This window comes from Homo sapiens, chromosome 5 (genome assembly GCF_000001405.40).
Source record: "Homo sapiens chromosome 5, GRCh38.p14 Primary Assembly".
Lineage (NCBI taxonomy): Eukaryota > Metazoa > Chordata > Mammalia > Primates > Hominidae > Homo > Homo sapiens.
The window spans coordinates 112,699,388-112,724,011 of record NC_000005.10 but is presented as its reverse complement, the minus strand read 5'-3'; the positions used below and the strand labels follow the sequence as shown (position 1 = coordinate 112,724,011).

Genomic DNA, 24,624 nt, shown 5'->3' with positions numbered 1-24,624 from the left:
ATAGCTCCTCATCCTCTGACTTCCTGAAACTCTGCTCTTTTTTTCATCTGAATTTTGTTCTCATTTCTAATCATTAAACCCTGGACCCCCCCAAAATTAGAGCCCTCCCAGTAGTTTAGAAGCAGGGAATTTCCACTTTAATTGCTTGGCAAAGAGTAGCAGTGGGGGCAGTAATGGTAAGGTAAGGAAGAAAACTCTTATACTAGAGCAATAAAAGGAGATGAAATGTTCCTGACATCCCAATTTCAAACTTTGAATTCATTTTCCTCTAGAAATAGCATTATTCAATGTTACACATGGTAGTAATGGCAGTTAATACAGCATATAAATTAAATGGTTTTTTGTGGGCAGGGCTGGGACATCATCATTCCGGTCAACACATTATTCCTATGGGACCATGACAGATGTTTAAATTTTTGAACTACTATTCTCTTCATGTTTTCCCCTCCCACAAAAGAAAACCTGAATACCACAACAGGTTTAGCACAGTGTGAAATACATATATATATGTTTTCATCCACAGCTCCTGGATCTTTTTCTTTTTTTTTTGAGATGGGGTCTGACTCTGTCACCCCAGGCTGGAGTGCAGTGGCATAATCTTGGCTCACTGCAACCTCCGCCTCACAGGCTCAAGCAATTCTCCCATCTCAGCTTTCTGAGTAGCTGGCACCACAAGGCTGCACCACCATGCCCAACTAATTTTTTTATTTTTTGTAGAGGCAGGGCCTCTCCATGTTGCCCAGGCTGGTCTCAAACTCCTGAGCTCAAGCGATCCCCAAGTGCTGGGATTACAGGCGTGAGCCACCACGCCCAGCCAGTTCCTGGCTCTTCACTACTATAATGCTTATTATAGTCCTCTTTTTTTTTAATAATGTTGAGGCACTTCAGGCCTCAGGAACAGAATCTCTCTCTCTAGCCTTCTCCTGTCCTCCTTTTACCTACCCAAGGCATGACTCTAATCTGGTTTTGGGTCAAAAACCCTCATTCCAGAGAGGGTCCTGTCCCCATATCAAAGAAGAAATGCTACACAGAGAGGCCAAGAAGAGTCAGAACAGACAGGCCTTGCTGGGCTTAGATCACGCACTTTTTGTCCAAACACATTTCTACATGGTTGTCAATCATACCTATGCAATGAGGCCTCCATAAAAAGCCAAGAGGACAGGGTTCAGACAGCTTCCATATAGCTGAACACGTGGAGGTTCCTCGAGGTTGGTACACCCAGAGAAGGCATGGAAGCTCCGCGCCCCTGCCCCTATATCTCACTCTGTGCATCTCTTCTTCTGCATCCCTTGTAATATGCTTTATAGTAAACCAGTAAATATAAGCAAGTGTTTCCCTGAGTTCTGTGAGGTGCTCCAGCAAATTAATCGACTCCAAAGAGGGGGTAGTGGGAAACCCAACTTGAAGCCAATCAGAAGTTCCAGAGGCTAGGACTTGGGACTGGGGGGAAGGAGGGGGTGGTCTTGGGGCCTGAGCCCTCAACCTGTGGGATCTGATGGTATTTCTGGATAGACAGTGTGGGAAATGAATTGGAGGACACCCAACTAGCATCCACTATTGGTGTGTGGGGAAAAAGCCCCACGTCTTTGGTCACAGGTGTCTGTTTTTTAATTCATTTAATTGGTAAATTTCCCAAGATGAGACACAGATGTCTTTTACTATGTTAACGATTGTTGTGGTGGTGCAAGAGCAGAGGAAAAACAAGGGTTTAGAGTTTTTCTGAAACACACAGTGTTTAAAATGCCATAATAGTATGGAAATTTATGTAACTCACAAAACCGAACAGTGTATTACTTTAGTACTACTGTACTAAAATACAATAGATGAATGTACAATAAATTAATCAACGAACTCCCCTGTAACTTCAAACTCTTCAATAAATGTCATCTTCACCGATTTATCTTAGTTGAAATCAGATGACACCACTTTCTGTGCCGCTTTCTCAATGGGGGGGTCTTTTTTTCCTCTCACATCCTATGTACTTTAGGCCAGGAGATAGGAATAGGATACTGAAGGGTCTAGAGCAAATTTGTCCCCAGGGCTGCATGGCCCAGGATGGCTTTGAATGCAGCCCAACACAAATTCGTAAACTTTCTTAAAACATTAGGAGATTTTTTTTTCCTGCAATTTTTTTTCAAGCTCATCAGCTATTGTTAGTGTTAGTGTATTTTATGTGTGGCCCAAGACATAAAATTTGCCAACGAGGCCCAAGGAAGCCAAAAGACTGGACAAGCCTGGTGTAGAGGGAGGCAAAAGATATGCTCCTTGCATCCAATTATCACTTCCAAACCATTTCTCCTCCTTTCTTAAACACCCAAGATCTTCTGACATGATACCCAACTGTGTACCCTCTATTGCCTCTAGCACTCTTCTCCACTCTTACCCCCACCATCACTCTCAGTGACTTCAAAGTCTACGTGGATTACCCACCTAACACTCTGGCTTCTTAGCTCCTTAACTTCTTCACCTCCAAATACCAACTTCCATGATCCACGCAGGACCTTGTCATCATCAATAACTGCGTCATCTCCAAATTCTTAACCAAAAATCTCAAAAATCAAATTTTCAGTCTTTATTTTTTTATTTTATTTTTATTTTTTGAGATGGAATCTCACTGTTGCCAAGGCTAGAGTGTAGTGGCGCAATCTCTGCTCACTACAATCTCCGTCTTCCGGGTTCAAGTGATTCTCATGCCTCAGCCTCTCGAGTAGCTGGGATTACAGGCACACGCCACCATGCCTGGCTAATTTTTGTATTTTTACTAGAGATGGAGTTTCACTATGTTGGCCAGGCTGGTCTCGAACTCCTGACCTCAAGTGATCCACCCACCTCGGCTTCCCAAAGTGCTGAGATTACAGGTGTGAACCACTGCACCCAGCCCCAAATTTCCAGTCTTTAAAATGTATCTCCTGCCCCTCTAGTTCATTATACTATCTCCAAATTCAACATTCCCTCACCTTACTTACTGTGTTCTCCAATCCAATCAAAAATGCTCTCATCATTTTTCACCATCCGTTACTTTCATCTTTACACTGTTCTCTTTAGATGCAACAATAACCAGTCTCTTTCAAACTCTCAAACCCCTTACTCTTCTCTCCCTCTGTTACCTGGTAAAATCTCAACTCTAGCTGAACAATTCCATTCCACTTTTACGTGCCTGTACCAGAGCAGCTTATTATAGAGGAAAGGGGGAAAACCAGCTAACAAAGCTAGCTGGTTTCACTTTAAATTCACAACTATAAACATCAAAGGATATCCAATACTGCCTAGCAGGGCTACTATGTCTCCTGGAAAGTTTGCCTTCCCACACTCTAAGTGTCTTTTTTGTCTCCTCAAATCTGTAACAGACCTATTTTTCTACCTATGCCACTCTTTGCTGACGACCTACTTCATGGAGAATATAAAAGCTATTGGAGAGAAATTCCCTCATATTTTTAGGCAAGTCAAGTCACCCATCTTCCTTGGGCCTCTGTTTTCACATGTTTAAAATAGGAGATGGGTAGGACGGGAGGGTTCATGAGAGACTTAATGATATTTAGGGTCTCTTCCAGTTCTAAAATTCTCTGTCCACCTCATTTTATCCTTCAGTTTTTTAAAGGCAAGTGAGCAAATCTAAAACAAAAAGCTATTTGAATCTAACATAGCAGGAAAGAGAAGGAACTATAATAGGAATCTTTGACTTAGTATTTTCTTCTAGCAAAGAGAAAAAAATAAGTAAACAGTAAACACATAAGAATTCTAGGTTTTCATACAACAGAGCTGGTTTTGTTCTTTATAGACACATCAATTTAATCACAAAGAAATGGATGGCATTTCATATTAATGGCTGTGACTAATATCAAATCAAGTATCTATACAGGAAAAATATATTGGTATGTTATACTAAATTTTTAACACTCCTCCATCACAGAAGAACACCAATTTATGTAGACTACCATAGCTTAGTTTGCCTAGAAGAATTTCTAATGTATCTGTTTGGCTTCCATATTCAACAGATTTAATCTCAGAATTCAAACGCAAATTGTACCTATATTTTAAATAGATGTGGGTAAGATTTTTGAAATCGTATTTTGTCCTTGAGATGTAAAAAAAATTTAAATTAAATAAAAAATAAAAATCATGACACCTACATGGCATAGAGAGATTTGCCAGAATTTTTATTGAAAATTGGCTGGGCGCAGTGGCGCACAACTGTAATCCCAGAACTTTGGGAGGCTGAGGTGGGAGGATCACCTGAGGTCAGGAATTCAGGAGTTCAAGACCAGCCTGGCCAACATACTGAAACTCCATCTCTACTAAAAATACAAAAATTAGCCGGGTGTGATGGTGCGCACCTGTCATTCCAGCTACTCACTAGGCTGAGACAGGAGAATTGCCTGAACCTGGGAGGCGGAGGTTGCAGTGAGTGGAGATCACGCCACTCCAGCCTGGGCGACACAGTAAGACTCTGTCTCCAAAAAAAAAAAAAAAGAATTATTATTGAAAATGAGGCTGGGTGCAGTGGCTCACACCTGTAATCCCAGCACTCTGGGAGGCCAAGGTGGGTGGATCATTTGAGGTCAGGAGTTCCAGACAAGCCTGGCCAACATGGTAAAACCCCACCTCTACTAAAAATTAAAAAAAAAAATTAGCCGGGCGTGGTGGTGCACACCTGTAATCCCAGCTACTCGGAGGGCTGAGGCAGGAGAATTGCTTGAACCTAGAAAGCAGAGGTTGCAGTGAGCCAAGATTGTGCCACTGTACTCCAGCCTGGGCAACAGAGCAAGACTCTGTCCAAAGAAAGAAAAGAAAGAAGAAGTAAAGAAGGAAAGAATGAAAATGAACCTACTTCCAACAAAAATACTAAAAGACAAATTTGTCTGCAGTCCCTCCTCAGTTTAGTACATTCTCCCTCCTCCATACAGTCCCACTTCAAAAATGTTCACATTACATTCTATTTGCTTACATAATTCCTACCCTAAGGCACTACTCACATACAAGTATTTTTTGCTTCTCCGGTCATACAAAATATCCTCTGTCTCCTTCCCTTAGGGCTTTGCAAAGTCCTAGGAACTAACCTAACTTTAAAGGAATTAAAAGGCAACCATAGCTTAAAGTCTACCTTTTCCAGGTATCTAATTTGCACCATCAAAGGAGCCCTAACACAAAGGAATGGCTAATGTAGAAATTTCCAGTCTTTCTGAACAAGTTAGTCAAAGAAATATTTGGACTTACACTCGTAGAAACAGCAGACCAGGTTATTCAGACCAAGTATCCTTACAAAGACAATTTAAAAAGCTAGATAAGATAGTAAAATGATCTTAACAGCACCAAATAACCAGCAAAATAACGAGGAATGAATAAGAAGCTCAAATCCACTAGAAGTCAGGAACCCAGAAAGGTGACCCCAGCTTTTGCCTTTTGTGAGTTTGCCAACAAAGAAGCATTTAAGAGGCTGAGCTTGGTTGTTTGTTGCCTGCATTGCAGGCACAGGGGACCAAAGCCAGAGTCTGAGACCCACCAAGGGTGAGGACTGCAGTGAAAACAGCATTGGCTTCCGGCTGAGACCCTAAAGGGCTGCAACCTAGAAATAAAGAAGGAACCAGAAGGAAACCATGGACTGAAGTCAGTTTCAACTCATCTGGGTGGCCCAGGAAAGTTAAAGATTTGAAATTTCATTAAGATGTTCTCACACCCCCAGGCACTTGGTGACAGCAAATGAAAACCTTCTTTAGAGAAAGATTAACTTCATCTTACATTATATACATCAATTTATTTCTACAACACAACTGAATCAGCTTCCTAGAGACTTCCCAACATTGGAATTATCAGACACAAACTGAAAAATAACTATGCTTACTACATTCAAGGGGATAAAGGCCACACTTAAATATTTTTGCTTAAAATTGAAAACTGTAAAAAGTGATACAGTTTTGAAAAGAACCAAATAAGAATTCTATACTAAAAAATAACCTAAATTAGGTATTTACTGAATGAGTTAATAACAGATTAGGCATAGGTGAAAAAAAAAATGTGAACTTTGAAGATAAGTCTGAAGCAATATCCAGAACAATGCCTTGAGGTCAAAAAGAAGCAAAAAAAAAAAAAAAAAAAAAAAAAAAAAGAAAAAGAAAAAGAAAAAGAAAAGAGGTAAGAGACAGGATAAGAAGGCCTAACATACTAAACTAGTCCCAAAATGACAGGAGACAGAATATGAAGCAAAGACAATATTTGAAAAAATAATGGCTAAGAAACTTCCAGGACTGATAAGACACCAATCCATATATTCACACAGCCCAAAGAATCCGATGCCTAATCACAGCTTAGTAAAACAGAAAGCCAAAGCCAAAGATAAAAATCTCAAAAGCAGCCAAACAAAATCACATTATCTTAAAAGTTGAGACACAAAGAGTTGAGGTCTCAATAACAATGAAATGTGCTGAAATAAAGTAACCACTGCTAACCTAGAATTCTGTACCTAGCAAAAATATCCTTTAAGACTGAGATAAAATAAAGACATTTTCAAGCAGACTAAAGGACATTCTAAAGGGTGTGTTTCAGATCCTTCAAAATCAAAGAAAGCAATCTTAAGTGCAAGATCATACGAAAAGTAAAAAGATGGTAAAGACATGCATTAACTTAAATAAAATATTGGCAGTATGAAACAGTAACAACAACAATAATGAGGAAGAAAGAGAAAAAATAAGAATGAATTAAAATGCACAACAAAACTGTATGAGTAGGGGCTGGGCACGGTGGCTCATACCTGTAATCCCAGCATTCTGGGAGGCCGGGACTTCAAGACCAGCCTAGCAAACATGGTGAAACCCCGTATCTACTCAAAGTACAAAAAAATTAGGCAGGCGTAGTGGCACATGCCTGTAATCCCAGCTACTCAGGAGGCTGAGGCACGAGAATTGCTTTAACCTGGAAGGCAGAGGTTGCAGTGAGCCAAGATCACGCTACTGCACTCCAGCCTGGGCAACACAGCGAGACCCTGTCTCAAAACAACAACAACAACAAACAAACAAACAAAAATAACTATATGAGAAGGGCTGCAAGTAAGTAGAATTAAAGTGCATCATCTGAGAATAGGATAAAGGTATTGATTAACATTAGATTTTATAAGATAGATAGCAATTTCTAGAATAACTAGTAAAAGAAGATCAAACTATAATAAAGAGAAAGCTAGCGTTGTTATATTCATCTCAAACTAGACTTTAATGTGCAAGTACTACCAGAATAAAAGAGGAAACTTGATAATGTTGAGTCACTGAGAAGATATAGCTATTACACATTTCTATGCATCTAATAGCATAGCCTCAAATTTATAAAAGATTAGAGAACTACAAGGGAAATACTCAAATCCACAATCATAATGGAGCATCTTAACATACACTTTTAGTAACTGATGAGCAAACAAAAGATCACCTACGATACTTAAGATTTGAAATGCAGGATTAACAAATATGACCTAATAAAAAAAATACAGAGACCTGCACTCAATAAATGGAGAGGAAAAAAAAGACAATATACTGGGCCATATACAGATCTCAAATTTTAAGTCTGAAATAACAGGCCTTTGAAACAGAGTATGTTCTTGGATTACATTGTAATTTTACAAATTAAAAACAAAATAACTGGAAAATCTCCATATGTTTAGAAATAAAAATATAATACTTCCAAATAATCCAAAAGTCAAAGTATAAATCATAACAGAAATCTGAAAACATCTTAAGTGAATTATAAAAATACTATGTACCAAAAAATACTATGTATCAAAACTAGTAATAGAACTAGCTAAAATGGCGCTTAGAGGGGAATGTTTAACTTTATGAACATATTTAAAAACAAGAAATGCTGAAAATTCAAGAACTTCACCGAAGAACCCCAAAAAGCAGCAGGGAAGGAAATAAGAAGCAGAAATTAACGCAACAGAAAATAAACATACAACAGACTAGCAAAATTCAAAATACGGTTCTCTGGAAAGACTACTGATCTCTGGTGAAACTAATAAGGAAAAGGAAAAGGTACAAATAACCTACGTCAGATATGAAAAGGGAATCTTTTCCTGCAGCCATTAAAAGGACCACAGAATATTTATTATAAACAATTTCATGCCAGTAAATTTAAAATTTTAGATAAAAGAATTCTTAGTGGAAAAATTATAAAAAATAATCACAAGATAGAATACTTGAATAGGCTTAAAAACAATACATTGAATTAATAATTAAAAACCTTTCCTCCCAACACAAAGAAATGATAAACGCTCAAGATGACAGGTACTCTAAATACCCCGACTTGATCATTACACATTTTATACACGTATCAAAATATAACATGTACCCCATAAATATGTACAAATAAATACCAAATTTTAAAAAACATTTCCACAGGAAAACTCCCAGCCCAGGTGGTTTCTCTGACATGTTATAACAAATATTTAAGGAAGAATTCATTCCAACTATACACAAACTCTTCCAAAACCAAAAATGATGGGCACCTCATTTTATTCTATTTCACATCTCGACAAGAATGGTACAGGCCACCTCACTCATGAACACTCAGGTCTCTTAGCACAAACGGCTTCTCAAAAAGCCCTTCTCTTACCAAACTAAAGTAGTATCCCCTGTCCCCTGAACCTATTTTATTCTATTTCAAGATCTATATACTACCTGATGTTATTTGTGTGTGTGTATGTGTACATATATAATATTTATTGACTATGTCCCCCACTAAAATTTAAGCTCAGACAACACAGGCTCTGTTTTGTTCCCACTCAATGTTGCCACACTATCTGCCTACAGCAGGCTTCAAAAATATTTGTTCAATTAATAATTGGTTTTGGTTTTGTTGAGAAAATGACAAAAACACAAGTAGAATTCAGTAACGCTTTCAAACGAATTCATACTCTATTATAACAACTGCAAGAGCATCATATACATGCTTTAGTGGTAGGAGTACAATGTACATAATTCAGGATTCAAAAATAACTGATGAAGGAATGAGGCGTTCTTAAATTTCTAAACATCTCCCATCCCCAAGGGGTACCTCAACTCTATTTCAATAGATGTTATATATACTTGCTTCTTCCTTTCTGTAGTAAGCACAAAATCATTCACTAATTCCATAAACAGTTATCATACACTACTATGCCAGACAGTATTCCAGACATTTAGACATTAAGAATACAATAATTAAGACAAGGTAGAGTAATGCATGGGACAGAAAAATAATACCCATAGAGTGTGATATATAGATTGTAAAGCTGAAGCATGATAGAAGAGATAATAAACTTTTTAGGGATAGATGTTTAGGGAAAGTTTCAGTAGTGGTGATACTAAATAAATACTTGTAAAATCAAATACAAAATATTTTTCATTTTACTATACGTGAAATGAGGATATGAAGTCTGAAAGTACTACAGTAATTTACCACCATTAAGATAAGCTAGCCCAAGAATAAAACCAAATCATGGGGAATAATGGAGCAGAATGAATAAGAGAAATTAAGTCCTTGATGTTTTCATGTGAGCCACTGGATGAAGTCTTAGCTAAAGTTTACTAGAAGATGTACTCAGTCCCTTTTTTTGTTTAAGCCAGTTTTGTGTTTTCTGTCACTTGCAATGTAAGAATATAGATCAATCTCTGAATTCTTTCAAAAGGCAAAGCATTTGCTAACTTCAGTGTATACATGTGCAGGGGCACTACTGGTATTTTTGAAAGGACAATTCTGTTTTGTGGGACCATTCCAAACATCACAGGACATTAGTGTATCTGGCCTCTACTTAATAATTATGAGTAGTACCTCGCAGTCACTGTGACAACCAAAAATGTCCCCATATAGTATTTCCAAACATCTCCCATCCCCAAGGGGAACCACAACTCTATTTCAATAGTTGTTACATATAACATACCTGTTTCTTGCAGTAGCTCCAACAGATATGCTTAAATGTACTTAACACAGTCTTAAACAAACTGGGATATACCACTGAAATATTCTAATTTTACATAATAATTCATTTTTAACCAGTCACCTATGACTATTTAAATGTTCAGTCAAAATCTTACGTATAGGCTCGGCACGGTGGCTAACGCCTATAATCCCAGCACTTTGGGATGCCAAGGTGGGCGGATCACTTGAGGTCAGGAGTTCAAGACCAGCCTAGCCAACATTGCGAAACCCTGTCTCTACTAAAAATACAAAAATTAGCTGGGTGTGGTGGCAGGCGCCAGCTACTTGGGAGGCTGAGGCAGGAGAATCGCTGAACCCAAGAGGTAGAGGTTGCACTGAGCTGAGATCAAGCCACTGCACTCCAGCCTGAGTGACTGAACGAGACTCTCTCTCAGAAAATAAACACTGAAATCCTATGTACAGCTTATATTAACTCTTGGTGTAAACAGTGTTTTAAATTTGCCACTATTATCTGAAAATTCTTATTTATTTAAATTTCTCCATACAATACTGTCATTGACACCATCTGTTTTCTTCTAATCAGCCATTTGCTTACCCTCTTCCTAGACTGAAATGCCACATATTCATTTTCCCAGCCTCCTCGTAATTAAAGCAGCGGCACGCCAGGATGGACATCGGAAAGAGGGCTTCTGTGAACGGTTTAGTTGCCTAATTAAGAGATGAAAGGACAAACTTCCACCTGTCTTTGGAGAATGTGATGCCTGGAGCAGAGCCATCTGCAACCATGATGGCAAAGTCTGAGCCCAAAGTTAAGCATGCTAAGGATAGCCAAGCATAAAGATGGAAAGCACCTGAATCCTTGATGAAATCATAGCACAGCTAAACTAACCATGGAATACTCCATTTCTGGACTTTTTATGTGAGATACTGGTTTTTTTTTTTTTTTTGCTATGGAGTCTCGCTCTGTCACCCAGGCTGGAGTGCAGTGATGCAATCCTGGCTCACTGCAACCTCCACTTCCTGGGTTCAAGTGATTCTCCTGCCTCAGCCTCCTGAGTAGTGGGGATTACAGGCGCCTGCCACCATACCCGGCTAATTTTTTTATTTTTAGTAGAGATGGGGTTTCACTATGTTAGCCAGGCTGGTCTCAAACTCCTAACCTCAAGTGATCCGCCCGCCTCAGCCTCCCCAAGTGCTGGGATTACAGGCGTGAGCCACAGCGCCTAGCCCGAGATACTGTTTAAATCAATGTTAACTGGGTATTATACAACTTGGGGGCCTAACTAAACAAGATATATTCAAGATCTGACACGTGATTGACAGTGGGAGAAGAACCAAGATTTCTGAAAGATTTCAAGACTGGGTTGTTGAGAGAGAGGTAGTTAGAAAAGAGAAATCGGGGGAAGAGGAATACAAACGCGCACATGCTGCTGGGTGCAGTGGCTCATGCCTGCAGTCCCAGCACTTTGAGAATCCCAGGTGGATCACTTGAGCCCAGGAGTTTGACACCAGCCTGGGGAATACAGCAAGCCCCGGTCGCTTAAAAAAAAAAAAAAAAGGGCTGGGTGTGGTGATGCACACCTGTAGTCCTAGTTACTCAGGAGGCTAAGGGCTGAGATGGGAGGACTGCTTGAGCCTGAGAGGTCTAGGTTACAGTGAGTTGTGATTATGCCACTACATGCCAGTCTGGGTGGCAGAGTGAAACCCCGTCGGTCTCACAAACAACAAAACATATATGTGCACACACACACTAGGTGAGGGTTGGTGAAGAGATCAAACTGACTCAGTTTAGTATGAGTTAAACTTAGGGTAGTATATATAAGATAGACATATACAGGAGGAAATGGAAGTAGGGAGTTACAGAACCAAGAAACAGCCCCACAGAAATGATGGTTTATATCATAAAGGATATGATCACCAAGAGAACACAGTGAAAAGCATATGGAACCTTGAGGACACTGGTTACTTCCCCAGGATCCACCCCTTCCCCGTATTGTGTTGCAGTCTCTATTTTCAGGTAAGATTCACTCCACTGGCTAAGCCACTTAGGATAATTCCATCCCTCTAGACAAAGATATTGTTACAGGTTTGGCAGCATGATCTATGTTTGTTTAATCAAACTAGAGCTTAGGATTCTTGGGAAAAGGCTAGGAGAAGTGGCCTTCTCTCTTTCTTTGGAAATAAATGAAGGGGCTATAATATGAACATCATTGGTGGCAATTTTTTTTTTATTAGAAGGGAAGTCTAAAGCCCAAACACAAGGACAATGTTGAGAGAACAGCAGATAAATGGGAGCTTAGCCCTGATGACATGACAAAGCACTCTTCAAGCCACTTCTATCTATGTACTTGCCAATTGCAAGAGCCAAAACATCTCTTTGGGTTTTTTTGTTTTTTTGAGATGGGGTCTCGTTCTGTCACCCAGACTGAAGTGCAGTGGCCCAATCATAGCTCACTGCAGCCTTGAACTCCGCCCCTCAAGCAATCCTCCCACTTGGGCCTTCCAAAACTGCTGGGATTACAGGTGTGAGACACCATGGCCCAGCTTATCTTTCATTTTTAAATCCCATTTGCAGCCTAACTGATAAAAGGAAAATGTGAAGAAACTTCCTGAGAAATACAGAATCAGGAAGTATAATGCAGAAAAGCCAAGAAATCTAGATCGTTTTATGACTACAGAAGACAGTATATTTCACAACTGATCTAAGGCAGCAGTCCCCAACCTTTTTGGCACCAGGGAATGGTTTTGTGGAAGACAATTTTTCCATGGGACAGGAGTTGGGTGGGGGATGGTTTCAGGATGAAAATGTTCCACCTCAGATCATCAGGCATTAGTTAGATTCTCATAAAGAACATGCAACCCTGATCCCTTGCATGTGCAGTTCAAAACAAGGTTGGCACTACTATGAGAATCTAATGCCGCCACTGATCTGCCAGGAGGTGGAGCTCAGGTGGTAATGCTTGCTCCCCTGCTGCTCACCTCCTGCTATGCTGCCCAGTTCCTAACACCAAACAAGCCAAGGACTGATACCTGTCTGCAGCCTGGGGTTTGGGGACCCCTGGGTCTAAGGAAACCAAGGATGACAGAGGAAACGTCATTGGATTTGGTGATTCGGAGGTCACAGATAACTTTTAAAACAGTAGTTTCAGTGGTGAAATGGTAAAGGCAGTACGAGTGCAAAGCACAGAAGCATTTAGTAAGAACTCTACAATGTACCAAACACTTGGATGGACATTTAACATGTATTAATTTCTTTAACCACCACCCTGTGAGCTAAGTATAACATATTTTATAGATACAGAATGAAATCTGAATAGTAACATACCCACAGTTACACAGCTACTAAAGTGGTTTTAAAAGACTTCAAAAACCCAGATCAAAAGTTCTATCTTGCTCAAAAGTCAATGTTCTTCCTACTATAACAGCTTCCTGGGATGAAAGAATAAGTCTTTAAAGAAAAGAATAGAAATACAGTGGCATAGCAGACTCAAGCTTTAGAACGTCCTCCTAGAGTTGAACAGCACACACACTTATATGGCAGAAGATACAAGCATCTATGTAGGCTAGAGAGGGAGAGGCTGAAGAAGGTGGACAGGAAGTGAAAATGGACAGTTTCTAGAGAAAGAAAGATGGGAAAGGGTACATGGACACATCTGGAGGGAGGGGGTTGCTCTTGAAAAGAAAGAAGGTCATTTCTTCCTCTGAGATATATATATATAAAGAGATGACACTGAGATGAAAAAAGTGAAGTGGAAATATACCTCAGATGGTTGAGATTTTTCTCAGCAAAGGAAGAGATTAAGTTATTTGCTATAAAAACCTGAGGAAATGAGAAGAAAAGGAACACAACACTAGAGACCCAGCAGAGAGCACCAACTGGCATAAAAACTGACCAATATCCTCACATAGCTGTCTCTGATGTCCCTCAGAATTTCAGGGGTCAAACTGGTAAAGCTAGCGAGGCTTATTTAGGATTGGGGACTAGAAAGGTAAGTCTACAGAAAGTGAAGCATTCTAGGCCATCAATAGGAGCTTAGTAAAAGCTGATGATCATGGGATCCTGGTTACACAGGGAGGCAAATGAAATCAGCATTAGGGTAATGGGTTGGAAGAACAGGGAGACAAAGAAGGTTCACAAAGAGAAAGAGAGAGAGAAAGGAAAAAATACCAAATTCCATAAGAGTGGAAGAGTGAGAGGGTTTGTTTGTTTGTTAGGAGACAGGGTCTTACTGTCACCCAGACTGGAGTGCAATGGCACAATCTTGGCTCACTGCAACCTCCACATCCCGGGCTCCAACAATCCTCCTGCCTCAGCCTCCCAAGTAGCTGGAATCACAGGCATGCACCACCATGCCTGGCTTATTTTTGTATTTTTTTTTGTACAGATGAGGCTTTGCCATGTTGCCTAGGCTGGTCTCGAACTCCTGGACTCATGCGATCCATGCGCTTTGGCCTCTCCCAAAGTGCTGGAATTACAGGCATGAGCCACCACACCCTGCCAAAGTGAGAGGTTTTAAAGAGTTTGTGGTCAGATGTTTTTTGATACAGAGCTACAAATCATTTTGCCAGAAGCAGTGAGCCACTGATTGGGGCTCAGCAACCCCTGCTTTGCTACTGCCCCTTCAAACTGTATGCAGAGAATTCAGAGACAACCAGCTCTAAAAACACACAGGCTCTGGTTCCAGAAAAGTGAAGGCTAGCAACGAATGAACTAGCCCATACAAGAAGCAAACATAAAAATATTCCTCCTTCTTTTAAGCTGAACAATTCTATCTCTAAATTTTAAAAATGCATTAAAAGGTCAAAAGTCCACAGTAAAGGGAAAAATAGATTATGTGTTATGAGACAGAATGAAAAGTAAACAAATCTGCCAGGCTATTTATAACCCACACGTTAAAAATTTTTAACATACAATTCTAATACAGCAGGCATAGTTTGTGCTTAACAACTTTGGAGAACATCTAGCATAACTTCAAGAAAACGATATTGCTCAATTTAATGTTAATAAAAAAGGTCCACCCATTTGCAATTTCAAAGGGCAAGCTATCATTTATATTTTTAATCTCACTTCTACAATTTTGGGGCTCTTGACACGTTATCCAACCCTTCCATCCAGGGAAAGATGGAAAAATTAGCCATGGCAACTTCCTCCACTACCGCTTTGATCCCACATTTTGCACTTAGACTCTGGCAAGGTACTACGTTATTTAGGACAGTTTTTTACACCAGTAATTCTGACTACCCTTGCTCCACTAATAAAGGAGGGAGTACTGAGACTGGCACAAGACTAAATCATATAGAAAATATCAAGTACTCCTAAGGAGGGTTGAACAGTAACAACAATCGAGAATACAAGCAATTTAAGAAGTTTTGAACTTAAAAAGCTTTTCTCCATTTTAGTCCTTTCTAAATAGAAACAAAGGGCTTGTACAACATGGAATTCTAAGACGTCAGTAGGCAATTTAAGCTAACACTGAATAAAAGAATAAATCACTTATCCTTGCTTGTACCATTAAGTGATGTCTTACATGTACTGCATAAGGTCTTCTTTTTTAAAACGAATATAACAGTTTCCAATTCTTTCACTAGATCTAGAAAGCTCACGCCCCCACCTCAACAGTTCAGAGACCAAAGATTTCCTACAGCCGAAAAAAATGAATGATTTAGATGAACAATCATTTGCCAACAGAGGCACCATTCCTCTACTTGGTGGGTCAAGGAGTCAGACTCTGACCTAACCATCCAAGGCTCCTGGGGACTTGATTCTCCCATCAAAGTGAACAAAATTCACCGGCCTTTGGATAACAGCCCTTTCTTTGTAACTCCACATGCCGGGCTATCAGGTATTTTCCCAGGCAGAGAGTTTAAAACTTTTAGAGGAAGCAAGAGGGTCCAAACGAGGAAGATGGGGAAGCGACTAAAATGGGAAGGGCGGACGACCCACCCACCTAACGCGAATGGGGCACCACTTGCAGGGGCGAAGCTCCAGCAGCAGCCAGGAAAGGTGGAGGACGGCGGGCGTCGCGACCCCCATCCACTGCGTGAGAATGGAGGACCTGCAAAGCCAGGGGCCAACTGGAGGCCTGAATGGGGAGTGCGGGGAGGGGAGAGGGTGAGACATGGAGAGAAGAGAGCCACAGAGTCGGGCCGAGCACCGTAGGGTCCCGAGCAGCGGCGGGGCAAAGCCGAGGAAGCTTTGCCGGGAGGAGACGTCAATGCCTGCAGCCTCACTCACCTGCCAGACGCTCGCCCAGTGGCCAGAAGTACGAGCGCCGCCCGGGCTCTTCGTCTCCTGCCGGACGCAGCTCCTGCTGCCGCCGGTGCTCCAGGACCCGAGAACTGAGGGTGGTACAGAAGCGGGCAAAGGGGCGACCGGACCCGAGCCCAGGGAGGCGTACATAGGGGGCGCCGAGGCCCGAGAAGGCAACTGAGTGCTTCACCTTCCTCACCAACAGCCAACAACAGTACCTGGGAACAGCATCGAGCCAACCTCGGTCCGCAGCTCCCGGGCCTGAGCCCGCAGGTCCCCCCCGAGCAGCGGCTAGGCTTCCGGCGGCCACACCCCGCCCCCTTGCTACTTGCCCTCCGCCATCTTGTGGGAGGTGGGAAGACTACAATGCGCATGCGTGAGAGGTGTTGCTGGCTTCCCACAGCCCGGAGACTAGAGCCTGTTATGCGCAGGCGCAATGGGTGCTGCGCTCCGCTTGCCGGGCACTGCTTCGCTGTTCTGTCCCGTGAGCCATTGCTGCCTAGGCAGCCGAGTCTCAGTTGCAGCACTTACTGGCCTTCTCTGAATTGTGCTGCAGCCCAGTTAATAGATCCTTCTGCACACACTAGTCCATTATTCCGCAAACATCTATCGAGTGCTCACTATTTGCTACTCCCCGTACTAGACGCTGATGATAGAAAGATGAATAAAATTCTGTCCCAGCCCCACAAGGGCTCATAAGATAGCGGAGAAACGGAGATGAGCAAGTTATTATTTTGTAGCTGCGACCTCTGCTTCCCTACCACCTCTCACTACCACCCTGTAGTTTTAATTTAAAAACACCTCTTCCGGGAAATCCTTGTTTGTCTCACACAGTTTGATAAGTTCTTTACCTTGGATTACCTCTTCAGTTTCATTTCATTCAACATTAATTGAACAATATCATTTGGGTTTCCGATATATACTAGATACTGTTTCAGGCTCTAGATTTACAGCAATAGGAAATACAATAAACTCACGGAACTTACATTCTAGTGTGAAAGAATAGACAATAAAAGACAGTCAACAAAAGAATGTTTGATGGTGATAAGGGATAGGAAGAGAGCAAACCACACAGAAAGATGATGGACAGTGAGAGGTGGTGATTAGTGATCTTTCTCCAGAGTTGACATTTAATCTGAAGCCTGACTGACCATGGGGGCCCAGGAGCCACTGGAAGATCTGGGGCAAAAGCTTTCAGACAGAGGGAACAACAGAACAGATCCTGAGGTGGTAGCAAGTCTGACATGAAAGAGGGACAGAAAGAATAGGTGACATGGACAGTGGGAAGGAGATGTGGTCGGGGTAGGCAGAGGCCAAATCAGGTAGGGCCTCCAGGTCATGGTAAGAAGTTGGATTTTATTCAAAATGGCCCTTGTATGTTGTTGACGCTGTCTCCCCTAGCCCCCACTACTCCTCTTCAAACACTTCTAGCTCCCGACTGCCTTTCTGGTTTGTATATGCCCCCTTGACTACCTAGAAGACACTTCTTCTTGTTCTTTAAATGTCTAACTTCTTATCTTTCAAGTTTCAGTTTAAATATCACCTCAGAAAGACCGTCCTTCCTAAGAATAATAAATTTTCCCCTGTCTTCCTTATTATTCTCAATCATTGCACCTTATCATTTCTTCCATGGTACTCAATATGTTTTTAAATGATCTATGTTTTGTTTCTTCACTGCCTCCACACTAAACAGTCGACTCCATAAGACAGGGAATACGTTTTGTTTACCAATGAATACACAGTGCATAGCACCATACCTGGCATGAGTGCTCTGTCACTCAGTGTTTGTTGATTTAATAAGTGTGGAAGTTTGTCAGCATCTAAGTAGTTGGTGGTGTACTATATTGGTTTCACTTGGTTTTTAAAATGAAATGCAAGTCACTTCTTATTTATATGTCTCCTCAGCTAGAATATAAGTAGGAAGGTTGGAGAGAGAGCAGATGGGATGGAGAAGGGTGGGTGATTGTGGGACAGTGGGCAGGGTTTATATTACATATGTTGTAGTATGGAGAGAAGGAAGGCTTCAAGTTAATGCAATCCCTATTATATGTGCTGTGAACTATGTTAGATATGAAATCCTCACCACAGCCCTGCTAGATAATTATCCTCACTTTTATACATGGGCAAATTCAGAGAGATTAAGTCCCTTGCCCAAGGTCTCACATTAAGGGATAGTGCTGACCATAAAGCCCATGCCCTTCCCATCTAGAGAAATTGGATTTGGAGACAGGCTTACTCAGAGATTTGATTCTGTGTCATTAGCAGGCTTTCATTAGAGATTTCATTCAGTTACCCCCACTTAAGGGTCCCAGTCGTATTACTATCCCTGTGTAGGACCTCAAAGGGCCTGCCTGGAAACTACTGTCGTTCTTTTCTTTTGAACTAGAGCAGAACTCATTTTAGCATTTTCCTTTTAATGTTTTTTAAATTCTGTATTTATTTTTATTAATAACATATATATTTTCATTAAAGGAAAAGAAGAAATACCAGCAAAATGGATACATAGTCTAAAGGCTAGCTGCATCTATTGGTTAGGCTTCTCAATGTGCCTAGATGGGACTTGCTGGCCCATCTAGGACCCAGCTGATACCTTAGACCCCCAAAGACCCTTCTGGAAAAGAGTTATAGGCTCACTGCAACAACCTCTTCTTCCATTGACTTATCAGAATTACACACCATCATTTCCCCTCTAAATGGGATAGCTGCCTCAGGATGGCTGGGGAGACCTGCCAGAAAGGATGGGGCTGGCATCTTATCTGTGGGGGCCATTTAGTCCTTATATGAGAGAAGAGATTCACTGAACCCATAACATATGCTCTTCAACCAAGCCCTATCAGTCCATATGCAAATCAAGTAGTAGGTAGGAATATATACTTGAAAACACTTCCCCGCCTTCTACCTCACTACAATGTAATCCTTGGAATAAATCCTAGAAACAAGACAAAGTCTTCAGTTTCTATGGTATTTACTTCTCTTATGGTTACCATCTGTTAGAGACTGAATTGTACTACTCCGAAAAAAGGTATGTTGAAGTTCTGACTTTCAGTACCAAACAATGTACCCTTATTTTGAAATAAAATTATTGCAGATATAATTAAGATAAAATGAGGTCATACTGCAATAGGGTAGGATAACCCACCATGACTACTGTCCCTTTAAGAAGATGACCGTGTGAAGACATAGACAGAACGTGAGGATGCCAGATGAGGACAAAGGCAGATTGGAGTTATGCAGCTACAAGCCAAGGAATGCCAAAGACTGCCAACAAACCATCAGAAGCTAGGAAGAGGCATGCATGGACTTTCCTACAGGTTTCAGAGGGAACATGGCCCTGTGGACACCTTGACTTTGGATTTATAACTTTCAGAACTCTGAGTCAATAAATGTCTGTTGTTTTAAGCCACCCAATCTGTGGTACTTTGTTATAACAGCTCTATGAAATTAATACACCATTTTATCTGGCAGGGCCTGAAATAGAGGAAAGAGATGTTGGCAGGCAGTGAGAAGGCTTGAGCTACCGCTCCAGTATGAGCAAGCCAGCTGCACAACCTCAAGCCAGTCGCTGAACAACAGTTTCCTCATCTGTACAAACAGAGATAATGACAGCCACCCTGCCTACTTCAAAGATCTGCAGTGGTAACTAACAAGTATTCCTCCAGTGATGCTGTGACCAAGGTCTGACAGATACTAAGAAACAATTATGTAAAGACAGGGTTCCTGCCACAGGGAATTTTACAGTCTGGCTGAGAAAACTAGACACTTTCCTATGATAAGATAAATAGTATGGGCAAAGTGCCAAGTGCGTGGTTTGGATCTTATTCACTATTGATGCTGAAAAAGGGAAGGATCCTGTGGACTGGGGTGGAGAGGGAGACTTCATGAAGGGCCTTAGCAGAAAAGGAATTTATTAGAAGGATATTTGACATCTACAGGATCTTCAGGAACAACACGCAACATTATGCCCGGAACTGGTCCCAAGAAGCCATCACTGTAGCCACTGCTGGATGCAAATACCAAAACTGAGACTGCCAGTACCACTTGACCCAGAGTGGATGATGCCTCTGCTGCTTCTGGAAGATAGATGCAGTTACTATCACTGCCACTACTCTCAACAGAATGGAGGGTCACTTCATATTCACAACATTAGCTTTCAACCTCAAGCCTAGAATGGGGGCAAATCATGGATATAACCTAGTAACACATTAACACTCTACCTACATGCTGTCTGATAGAAATATAATGCAAGCCACATACATAATTTTAAATTTTCTAGTAGCCACATAAGACAGTTTAAAAACAAAAACAAAAACAAAAAACCAGCCTCTAATCCAAGCAGTTTGGGAGGCTGAGATGGGAAGATTGCTTTAGACCAGGAATTTGAGACCAGCCTGGGTAATATAGTAAGACATTGTCTCTACAAAAAAATATTAGCTGGGCATGGTGGTGCATGCCTGTAGTCCTAGTTACTCAGGAACCTGAAGCCGGAGGATCACTTGAGCCCAGGAGTTCCAGGCTGCGGTGAGCTATGATTGTGACACTGCACTCCAGCCTGGGTGACGGGGGGGAGACCCTGACTCTAAAGCAAAACAAAAACCAGGTGAAACCAATTTTAATAATATATTTTATTTAACCCAATATATCCAAAATATTTCAACATGTGCCACTAGACATACGTCAAGTGCTCAGTAGCCACGTGTGGCCAGTGGCTACCATGTTTGACAGCACAGCGGTAATTGATAGGAAGGCCAGGAAAATGAGCATATGAACTTCTAATTTCGATAGTGAGAGGGAATTTCTGCTTCATGAGGAGGGCAATCTCCTAAACACAGTAAGAGAATTAAGACATAGTCTTACAAATGGAAAATAAAGTTGAAGGAAAACCAAACTGGATTGTAGAGAATGGAAAATGGTAAACTAAGGACATTTAATTTCATCATGTAGTGACTGAGAGCCACTGAAGGTTTGTGAAATGGGGAAGTATTTTGAAAATTTAATAAAAGTACCATGAAGGGGTAGGTGATAAAAAACACTTGAAGTTAGAATTTCTGGGCTTAGTTATGTTTTTTTTTTTTAATCTGTGCAGCTTTATACAAGTTGTCTCTCTGGATTTTTCTTCTCATCTTCAGACATGGTGCTTATAATATCTATCTCAGGCTTGTTGTGTTGTGAGGATTAAATGAAATGGTACATATGAAAATGACCAGCACCTGGTGCATTATTTAGGGTTCTCCAAAGAAACAGAACCACTAGAATATATATGAGATTTATTATAAAAATTGGCTCATGTGGTTATAGAAGCCAAGAAATCCCACAATCTGCCATCCATAAGCTGGAGAACCAGAAAAGCTAGTGGTGTAATTCAGTCTGAGTCTGAAGGCCTGATAATCAGGGTGCTGACAGTATGAATGCCGGTTTGAGTCTGAAAGCTCGAAAAAACAGGAGAGTTAACGTCCAAGGCAGGAGAAGATGCTCACCCACATTGGTGAGGGAGATCTTCTTTATTCAGTCTATGAATTCAAATGCTACTCTCTTTCTGAGACACCCTCACAGACACACCCAGACATAATATTTTATCACTTATTTGGGCGTCCCTTAGCCCAGTCAAGTTGACACATAAAATTAGCCGTCACACTTGGCAAGCACTCAATACATGATACTTAAATCTGAATGAATCTGAGTATCCAGTTAGAGGTCTAGATAGATAGTAAGGAGGTTGGATTATTTCCTAAATGTCAAGAGGAGCTCCAGGGTAAAAACCCAGAAAATATGTATTTTAGATATCTCAATTCTGTCTCAGCGTCGACAAGTTAAAATGTGTACTTGTTTTTTGCCTAGACCATGTCTTCCTTGAAGCCCTTACTGGTCATCCCTGGCCAGAGGTCATCTCTGCTTCCATGGCTTATTGTTCTCCTTTAGGTAGTATTACATTGCCATGTGTTGGCCTCATGTCTTGTCTTCTTTACTATAATAGATACATACATGAGGGCATAGGCCATATCTTATTCATATTTGTATTTATCTCCTACAATTTCTTGAATTGAAAGTGTCCAAACAAACAGAAGCTGGATGATGAGTACCATGAGTATTCATTATATTATTCTTACTACTTTTGTGTATGCTTGGAATTTTTCATAATAAAAAGTACTTTTAAAAAGACATCCAAGAAACTTCTGCTGCTAGATGGGGGGCTAAGTACCAGTGTTTACTTCCTTCTCCTCTGTATATTCCACTAAAATATCAGTAGCAGGACTTAATTTTTGATGAAACTAATGAATGTTAAGCTTCAAGGCTCTTCACTTGCGTGGGCCCTTTTCAAGGTCCTGGAAAATGCCTTAGCAATATGTTCATAAGTTTTTGTAAAATCTGCAAAAGTAGTATCTCTTAATCACAATTGGTTAAGGGCATTTCTCTTTCCACTTTGACTTACTGTCTGTCACAGGTCTGTTTTGTCAGGTGGTATTAGAGTAGCTGTAATAACTTTGGGTTCCAGCTAAGGGGAAGTTGAGTTTAAGAGACATTTTTAAAAATTTGGTCAGAGGATATTTATGTGATTCATAGTTATGTCTGTGTCTAGTATCTTATTGATAACTATCTTAGTGGAGTAATAACTTCCAGGAGTACTTCTACAGTCCAGTGCCTGACTCTGTCTGCATTCTAACACAATGGGGCAGGACCAGAGTTTGTGTTGTAACATGAACATGTTCTGTGGCACCTGAACCCGAAGTATGTATACAGCCAGAAGTTAGTCTATAGAAAATTCTTCCAAACTTTATAGCACATATGGAAAATGAACGTGTAGGTAACACGGAAAAAGAAAAGACATGATGGAAATTTTCCCAAATGAGATAACAATCTTAAGAAATCACAAGCCATTACTAATAACAAGTTGTCAAGCTGAAAAAAATCTAAACTATCAATAATAAAAATTTTGTGATTAACCATGTTAGAAGAAAGACAATTATATTTCTATTCAATCTATTAAATTATAATAAAACAAAATCACCACTTAAAGAGCATCTAGAAAAAAATTTAGGACAAAACTACAGAGGTATGTCAGGCAGTAAAATAATGCACTTGTGTTATTTTTCCAGGTTTTGTGATGCTTGTGGATTTTGTGTCAGCATTCTAGATTTATTTTTTCATTCTAAAGAAATATTTACTTTTTCACCTAAATTTATATTCAAACGTTGTATTTTTTTTTTCAAATTCAATGCCTTATCATGGGCCTCTGCAATTACAGTTAGAGACATCAACATCCCTCTCTCAGTAATTGATAGAACTACTAGGCAGAAAATCAGCAAATACATAGAAGACTTGAACAACAGAATTAATCAATAGGATCTAACTGACATTAATACAACACTCAGTAGAATACACTTTTTTTTTTTAAAGCATCCATGACACACCACATCTTTGGCCAGAAAACAAAACTATGCAGAATATGTCCTCTGAGCATAATGAAATTTAATTAGTAATCAATGAGAGAAAGGCAATGGGAGAATCTCGATACACTTGAAAATTAAATGACACACTTCTTTTTTTTTTTTTTTGAGACGGAGTTTTGCTCTTGTCGCCCAGGCTGGAGTGCAGTGGCACGATCTTGGCTCACTGCAACCTCCGCCTCTCGGGTTCAAGCGATTCTCCTGCCTCAGCCTCTCGAGTAGCTGGGATTACAAGCGCCCACCACCACACCCGGCTGATTTTTGTATTTTCAGTAGTGACAAGGTTTCACCATGTTGGCCAGGCTTGTCTCGAACTCCTGACCTCAAGTGATCTGCCCACCTTGGCCTCCCAAAGTGCTGGGATTACAGGCGTAAGCCACTGTGCCTGGGCTAAATGACACAATTCTAAATAATACCTCAGCAAAGAGGAAGTCTCAAAGGAAAGTTTTAGAAAATATACAGAACTGAATGGAAATGTAAATACAACATATCAAAATTGGTGGAATGAAGCTAAGGTGGTGCTGAGAGGGAAATTCATAGCACTAAATGACTACATTCAAAAAAATAAAATGATTACCTTAGAAAAGATCCCAAATTAATCACCTAAGTTTCTACCTCAAGAAAAATGAAGAGCAAAATAAACTCAAAAAAAGCAAAAGGAAGGAAATAATAAAGATAAAAGCAGAAATCAATGAAATTGAAAAGAATAACAATAGGGAAATCAATAGAACATGAAGCTGGTTGATAAACCTCTAGCAAGCCTGACAAAATAAAAAGAGAGGGGGCACAAATTACCAATATCAGTCATGAAACAGGATATAATTATAATTCTTGCAGCTATTAAAAGAATAAAAGGGAATACCATGGACACATGTACACTTATAAATTAAACAACTTTAGAAGAAATGGACCAATTTTTGAAAACCGTAAATGACCAAAGCTCAAACAAGATGAAACAGAATAGTCCTATAACCATGAAATAAATTGAACTGCCACTAAAACGCTCTGGAAAAAGAAATCTCCAAACCCAGATGGTTT

General features: G+C 40.4%; 1 protein-coding gene across 19 annotated transcripts in view, besides 3 other annotated features; it reads right to left on the bottom strand.

Annotated features, from left to right (window-relative positions):
• APC (APC regulator of Wnt signaling pathway) overlaps positions 1–16,514 on the bottom strand; it is a 138,742-nt gene extending 122,228 nt beyond the window's left edge. For 13 of the 19 annotated variants that reach the window (NR_176366.1, NM_001407470.1, NM_001407472.1 and 10 more), the window contains exon 1: positions 16,130–16,514. Coding sequence is in view for 4 of the 19 variants with exons in the window: in NM_001407446.1 (NP_001394375.1) it covers positions 16,130–16,294 (165 nt within the window). In the remaining 15 variants the exon portion in view is untranslated. The remainder of the gene's footprint in view (positions 1–16,129) is intronic. The other 6 variants (NR_176365.1, NM_001407448.1, NM_001407450.1 and 3 more) reach the window with 1 other exon arrangement.
• Positions 16,475–16,534: an enhancer, noted in NCBI's record as "active region_22910". NCBI's record gives its function as "activates an Ori minimal core promoter by ATAC-STARR-seq in GM12878 lymphoblastoid cells {active_cell/tissue: GM12878}" and the evidence as "EXISTENCE:reporter gene assay evidence [ECO:0000049][PMID:35858748]".
• Positions 19,566–19,860: a silencer, noted in NCBI's record as "tiled region #14787; HepG2 Repressive non-DNase unmatched - State 22:ReprW". NCBI's record gives its function as "weakly represses a minimal TATA promoter and a strong SV40 promoter by Sharpr-MPRA in HepG2 cells {active_cell/tissue: HepG2}" and the evidence as "EXISTENCE:reporter gene assay evidence [ECO:0000049][PMID:27701403]".
• Positions 19,566–19,860: an enhancer, noted in NCBI's record as "tiled region #14787; K562 Activating DNase unmatched - State 5:Enh". NCBI's record gives its function as "activates a minimal TATA promoter and a strong SV40 promoter by Sharpr-MPRA in K562 cells {active_cell/tissue: K562}" and the evidence as "EXISTENCE:reporter gene assay evidence [ECO:0000049][PMID:27701403]".